The 7,624-nt window shown below is 41.8% G+C and overlaps 1 annotated feature.

Moving 5' to 3' along the window:
* Positions 621-1,347: an enhancer, noted in NCBI's record as "OCT4-NANOG-H3K27ac hESC enhancer chr8:122835396-122836122 (GRCh37/hg19 assembly coordinates)". NCBI's record gives its function as "activates a minimal SCP1, AML or CMV promoter by ChIP-STARR-seq in naive H9 embryonic stem cells {active_cell/tissue: H9 hESC(naive)}" and the evidence as "EXISTENCE:reporter gene assay evidence [ECO:0000049][PMID:30033119]".

Raw genomic sequence — 7,624 nt, 5'->3', positions numbered from 1 at the left:
TGTCTGAATGAATGAATAAATAAATAAATGAAAGAAATAAGAATAGAAGGAAAGAAGAAATAAGAATAGAAGAAAAGAAGGAAGAATATAACTTCCTACAGTTTATATAAAGTATGACGATAAGTCAAATAAGGGCATTGATCTGAGAGGTATGAGAGTTTTGGGTTGTTTTTTCCCCCATTTGTCTTCCTTTATGTTATGGTTCTTTTCAGTTTTGAGTGGGGACTCAAATATGTTATGGAACCTTCATTAAAATATAATCATCAATTTGGCCGGGTGCGGTGGCTCACACCTGTAACCCTAGCACTTTGGGAGACTGAGGCAGGTGGATCACCTGAGGTCAGGAGTTCAAGACCAGCCTGGCCAACACAGTGAAACCTTGTCTCTACTAAACTACAAAAATTAGCCGGGCATGATGGTGGGTGCCTGTAATCCCAGCTACTGGGGAGGCTGAGACAGGAGAATCACTTGAACCCAGGAGACGGTGGTTGCAGTGAGCCAAGATCGCACCACTGCACTCCAGCCTGGGTAGCTGAGCAAGACTCCGTCCCAAAAAAAAAAAAAAAAAAAAAAAAATACATATATATATATATATATATATATATATATATATATATATATATATATAAAATCAATTGGAATGAAGGGAATGGTGGGTAAAATGTGCTCCAAAGAGGAAGCGAATGATAGGGAACAGACGTTTCCAAAGCATTCGATACTTGGTGAGGACTAAGCTCTGATTTTTTATATCTTGGCCAAATTCCTATCTAAGGGGTTTGGAGAGTCATGCCCTACAAACCATAAATTCTCATCTGATGGGTTTTATTTAACCCTGTATATTGGGACTTACTTTCCAATCTGACTCTGGCATAACAAGGAAGAAAATCAGAATATTTTACCCCAAAACATTTTTCTCTGCCACATCTTGAAATGGGCCTGCAAAGCCATCCTTTGTGGGGGACAATCTGCATCTGTAAAGAATCTCTATTAACATAGCTAGATCTTTTTCTTCCAGGCCCGCCCTATCCTGAAGAGATTAACTAAAAGTCTAGCACCTTTCAAAGATCTGAATAGGAAATATTTGTCATCTATTGTCTCCAAGGGCAGCCACTATAAGACTTCAAAAGAACCTTGGTCTCCACAATCATTTATCTTAACCTGAACATTTCCTTTCTGTCATCCCAGGTCTTTAGACAAACTCAACCAACTGCTAACCAGAAAATGTTTAAATTTACCTATAACCTGGAAGCCCCTGCTCCCCTATTTCTTAAATGTATTTGATTGACATCTCATGCCTCCCTGAAATATATAAAATCAAGCTGTACCCCGACCACCTTGGCACTCATATCTGGCTCAGAATAAATTTCTAAAAATATGTTACAGATTTGACTCTTTTTGTCAACATTGGTCATAACTTGAGAAGCTTCTCGACGTTTTGTCTGTGAGGAAAAGGAGCTGTCATCAGTCTTAGAAGAAAAAAGTCTGTCTGCACTCCTTGACAGTCATAACCTCTTGAGGAAATCCCCATCAAATCAAGAATACTATAAAAGACAACTGGAATTTCCCATCTCCTTTGGTATTATTTACATATCTGAGAAATCTTTGGAACTCAGTAGCTGAGGTTTCCTGAGTTTCAAGATATGAACACATTTCGGTTGTTATTTCCTAGAAATTTATATTTCTCTGAGACATAGCGTACTTTCTTCATTTCCGGGTCCCGGGTTGGTGGTTGCCTGGTGATTTTAGGGCATCATTAAAAACACATGAAGTAGCACTGGTGATTTTCTTATCTATGTTGCAAGAACTTCACTTGCTTTTTTAAGGAGGAAGGAGTTCTCTAAGTGAAGGCCTAGATCCAAAAGTGATACCCAAAGTAAAATCTTGGAAATAACCCAAGGTGGATATAAACATCCTTTGCAGATAAAAATGTCTAGTGCAAGTGACAAAACTTTTCTTGGCAGCCCTGTTTCATGTTCATCCCATAGTACAATTGCTTGTAAATTAGTGTGACCCTATTCAATTAATCTTTCTCAGTACAGATGATGAAGCCATGCACCATATTGTAACGATACATAATATATCATAGAGGTCCCTTTTTTTGGATCCAAAACAATAAAGAATTTTAAAAGTCTGTCAATGGCTTTATTTCTCTGGAATATATAGCCATTCTTATTTTTAATTTTTTCCAACAGATCTGAGGGCTTTGACATAAAAGTGAGGTTTCCAAAAACAGAGACTTGTCTTCAAATCATAAAAGATCTATTTCTTACTCTAGGACTAGACATATGGTAGCAGGATTGAAGAGGACTCATGTGCCTGCTTTTATATTTTTCATTTCTTACCTCTTTTCACTATTTCTTTATCTCACCACAGACTATGCCTATAATGCAGATACTGACTTGAGCCCTTTAAGAAAGAAAGATTTTATGCCGAATGTTGTCCAGTTAATGGACAATTACTCATTTTTTTATAGCAACACTGGACTAAAATCAGAACCATACTAAGCATCAGTAGAAAACTCTCCCATTTTTAAATCTATCAATTCTTTTAGTTGCCATGATTTCCTCTCCTTCTAATTCATACTTTCCTTCCTTGTCTGGAAACATACTGTATTAGTTTCCTACTGCTGCTATTTTAAACAATCCACTGATTTGTGCTTAAAACAATACAAATTTATTTCACAGTTCTTTAGATCATAAATCCAGATTTGTTCTATGGTTTCTCTCTTCTAGGTTTCACAAGACTAAAATCAAGGTGTCAGTCTGCCCAACCCCTATTAGTGAGATCCTAATCAATTAATCCTTCTCAGTACAGGGGAGATCTGGGAAGAATCTGCTTCTAAGCTTATTCAGGCAGAATCCAGTTCCTTGCAGTTGTAGGGTTAAACTCATCATTTCCATGTGTGCTGTTAGCTGGAGAGCATCTTATCTCCTAGAGGTTTATCCTCAGTCCTTGTAGGTGGGCATCTCACAGCCAGCAACGGTGCCTCTAATCCGTCTCACACTTAAAATCTCTCCAGCTTCCTCTTCTGTTACATCTCTTTTGCCTTTGTCTTCTGCTGCCTTTCTGACTCAGAGAAATTTCTCTGCTCTTAAAGTTCATATGATTAGATTGGGCCACTTGGATAAGCCAGGATAACCTCCCTCTGTTAAGGTTCATAACCTTAATTACATCTGCAAATTCCCCTTTGCCATGTAATGTAAGATACTGACAGTTTCTAGAGACTGAGGCATAGACATATTTTTGTGTTTGTTTGGTGGATAGACATTATTCTATCTACCATACATATTAAGTTTGGAGTTCTATGCATCTAATTCCTTTTTTAAATCGTGGATTAAGGAGGCAAAATTAAATCTGGATGCTAAGAATCCAGAGAACAGCTAGTATTTAGAGCATGGTTTTCCTCTAAACAAAGAGACAAAGCCAGAAAATGAGTGGAGGAAAATTAGGCAGATACTCGGGGTTATGGTTTAGGCCAATGTGATTCTCAAATTAGGGTGATCCATAGGCTCATGTCCACTGATGCTTGGAGTTTGCATCTGAATGGCAAAAATAAGGGGTAACAGGAATGCACTTGATTTTGTTTCTAGGGCTCACAACTTCCAATATTGACATTAATGTAGACAATATACTTGTTTTAGTCATAATTGATACCTAAGTTTGAAGATAGCTGAGTTAAAGACGGGTGGTGGACATCTGAGACTCTAACTCTGAGAATATGTGCCCAGCTGAATCACTTAAGGATAGATACATTCCATTTTTCCCATAGTTCTCTTAAATTAATTCTGACGTCATCAACTTGCTGATTATTACTAAACTTGTTTGGACTGGATAGTCTGAAACCTTTTTTTTTTTTTTTTTTTTTTTGAGACATAGTTTCACTCTTATTGCCCAGGCTGGAGTGCAATGGCACGATCTCAGCTCACTGCAACCTCAGCCTCCCGGGTTCAAGCGATTCTCCTGCCTCAGCCTTCCGAGTACCTGGGATTACAGGTGCGTGCCACCACGCCGAGCTAATTTTATTTGTATTTTTAGTAGAGATGGGGTTTCTCCATGTTGGTCAGGCTGGTCTCAAACTCCCGACCTCAGGTGATCCACCCGCCTCGGCCTCCCAAAGCGCTGGGATTACAGGCATTAGCCACTGCTCCTGGCCAGTGAAACATATTTTCTTAGCTACTTCCCATTCCTCTGGAGGCATGCTTTTCCCTAGAGTTATTCTCTTCTTCATTTTTCTCTGAAGAATTTAAAATCTAATAATCTGGGATCTACTGTATATCTGACTCTATCCTCGCCTTAATCTTAGGAGCCGTGGACAATCCCTGAAACAGTGGGTACTAGAGAAATAACAAATAACTGGATATGATATATTTCCCAAAGGGAAATGATCACAATTCTTTGATCACCAGAGACTGATACTTAAACCCAAAGTAGCAGCCTCCTCCTTTCATCAGCCTTCTTGGAGATGTGATTATCAAAAATGTCTTAGATCTTCTCGCGAGTGGAATAAATATCCCAAAACACGTCTCTGTGTCCTCTGTGTGGTGACAACTATTATCACTTTCCTATGCATTGACCATTTCTCTTATTTCCGATAATAGAATCTTGATTTTCCTTGGGAAAAAAATGTAGTCTCTACTCTTAGTCTATAGGATTAGGATAAAGCTGACCGTTTTCTGAACTCAATGTGTGAGCATTTGACTTACATTTGGCTAATTAGAGCCAATAAATTTTAATTCTCTATTCTTAAAAGTATAGAGAATAAAGAAGTTCTCCATCTGCTGGACTTCATTTGAAAGAATATGAGCCGGGACATTAGCAGAGTGGAAAAGGGAGTTTAGGAGCTATTCAATAAGGTAATCATATGCAAACAAAAGTAAAATTCAAAGGCCCCCTCAACCATCTGAATGGACTTTTTCCTAGGCCAGGGCACTTTTAAAATGTAAACTGAGAAACTGGTTCAGGCCAAGTCAGGAAGTGGGGGTTGAATATACCTCATGATACCTCTTTAGCGTTAACATCGACACAGGCCTTTAAGTCTGATAAGAAGCATTTACAATCTATTCTCTCTGAAGCCTGCTACCTGGAGGCTTCATCTGCATAATTAAACTTTGGCCTCCAGAACCTCTTATCGCAATCCAGACATTTCCTTTCTATGGATCCCAGGCCTTTAGATAAACTCAACCAATTGTCAACCAGAAAATGTTAATTTTAAATCTACCTGTAACCTGAAAGTTACCCCTGCCCTCTTGCTTTGAACTGTCCTGCCTTTCTGAACCAAACCAATGTGTTTCTTAAATGTATTTTATTGAAGCCTCATGTCTCCCTAAAATGCATAAAACCAAGCTGCTGCGCCCCGACCACCTTGGGCACATGTTTGTGGGCCTCCTGAGGGCTGTGTCACAGGCCATGGTCACTCATATTTGGCTCAGAATAAATCTCTTCAGATATTTTACAGTTTGACTCTTTTCACTGACACAGCAGAAGACAGACAGAGTCTTAAGTTCCCACAATGGAATTTGAGCCCCTGCATCTGAGACGGGAGAATTCCCTTAATCCCCTTGCAGGACTTGCAACAGGGGTGGCTCGTTTACTCAGCTCAATTCCCTTGGAGGAGTGGGGGGCACACAGGTGAGTGGGCGCAGGCGCTGGGGCAAGTGCCTTTGGGAACTAAGTGTCCGCAGGAACTAACCCATACTGCCCCCGGCAGTGTCTAGGTGTTGCCCACGACCTCTGGGGTCCCAGGGATCGTGTGTTACAAACAATGCTCTTTTAGCATTTGCCTTTTGCTGATGGCTAGGTGTTAAAACCAGCTCAGGGGAGGATCCCGGTAGCCTTTTACACCCTGCTCTCTTGGTACCCAGGTTCTTGTCCAGCATCCAGGAAGAATCAGGTCACAAGGACTTAAAGAATGGTGAATGCAGAGATTTTATTGGGCAGTGGAATGGCTCTCAGTGAAATGGGGAGCAGGAAAGGGGATGGAGTGGGAAGATAATCTTCCCCTAGAGTTCGGCTGTCCCTGGCCGAACTCCTTTCCAATCATCCCCGGCCAAACTCCTCCCCGATCCTAGTCTCCAATGTCCAGCGCCTCTTCCCTTCTGGATGTTCAGACGCTTCTCTCCTCTCCTTCCCTGCCACACCGCTCTGCTGCTCTGCTAGTGGAGCCTGGGGTTTCCATGGGCACAGAGTAAGGGGCGTGGTGGGCCAAAAGGCAATATTTGGATGGGAAAACAGGGATTTAAAGTTCTCATTTAGGGCCACTGGCCCAGGCTTGAGGGTGGAAACCTTGTCAGGGACCCCACCCTTCTCTTCTCTTCTCTTCTGTCCTTGTAAGGAATAATGCTCAAAATCCTAAGGAAACTGAACACTCGAACAAAGGATTCTTAGCAAAGCAATTTTACTTCTGCACAGAGGGGTGCCTCCTTGGCCAGTCGCCATGAGAGCACACCTGAACAAAGGGGCACAAGAGCCTTTATTCCTGATGCAAGTCCTGCCCCTGTACCCTTTCCCCACTGGCCAGGGTCCGGTCGTATAATCTAAACTAATTCCGGTTGGCTAAACATTTGATTTTTTTAGATAAGGTGGGCACATAAAAGAAAGTGGAGAGGAAAGGGGAAAGGGTGTCTGTAATGAGCTAGAAAGTTAGTCCTCTTTCCAAATAAGGAAAGGAATGTGAGCTGGTACTGATAACACCTGGTACTGAGGCATGCCTGGGCATCTAACAAATGCAAAAAGGGAAAAAAGGAGAAAAAGGGAAAAAAGTGGGGGGTACTATGAATTAAAGAACAAAAGACTGATCGCGTTATTTGAAGAGAAACCTTGTCATATCCCACATTCCCTCCCCTCCCTCCCCCTTCTCTTCTCTTCTCAGATGGAGTCTCACTCATGGGCCCAGCTTTGAGGGTGGAACCCTTGCCAAGGACCCCACCCTTCTCTTTTCTTTTCTTTTCCCTTTTCCCTGTTCCCTTTTCCCTCTCCTCTCCTCTCCTCTCCTCTCCTCTCCTCTCCTCTCCTCTCCTCCTCTCCTCTCCTCTCTTCTTTTTCTTTTCTTTTTGGAGATGGAGTCTCACTCTGTCACCCAGGCTGGAGTGCTATGGCGCGATCTCAGCACACTGCAACCTCTGCCTCCTGGGTTCAAGTGATTCTCCTGCCTCAGCTTCCTGAGTAGCTGGAACTACAGGCATGCACCACCATGCCCAGCTAATTTTTGTATTTTTAGTAGAGACGGGATTTCACCATGTTGGTCAGGCTGGTCTCGAATTCCTAACCTCAGGTGATCCACCCATCTCGGCCTCCCAAAGTGCTGGGGTTACAGGCATGAGCCACCACCCCTGGCCCCCCACTTTTTTCTACCTAGTATTTCCCTGCCTCCTGTCCATATCAGATCCAACCAACCTACTTTTAAATTTTTCAGCTTTGTGAGCCAAAGAATTTTCTTTCATGCTTAAATCAGTTTGAATTGGGTTTCTGTCACTTCAGCTATAGCATCCTGAGGGGATCTCATTATATCATGTCCTGTCCAAACGGTAGTTAGATTATTATACCTACATCTGAGTGCTCATCCCTGCTGCCTGATTAGAAGCATTCTGGGAGCAGCAGCCAGCTTTGTATAATACACTGCGATTGC

This window comes from Homo sapiens, chromosome 8 (assembly GCF_000001405.40).
Source record: "Homo sapiens chromosome 8, GRCh38.p14 Primary Assembly".
NCBI lineage: Eukaryota > Metazoa > Chordata > Mammalia > Primates > Hominidae > Homo > Homo sapiens.
The sequence above is the reverse complement of the archived record's forward strand: the minus strand, read 5'-3'. Positions and strand labels throughout refer to the sequence as shown.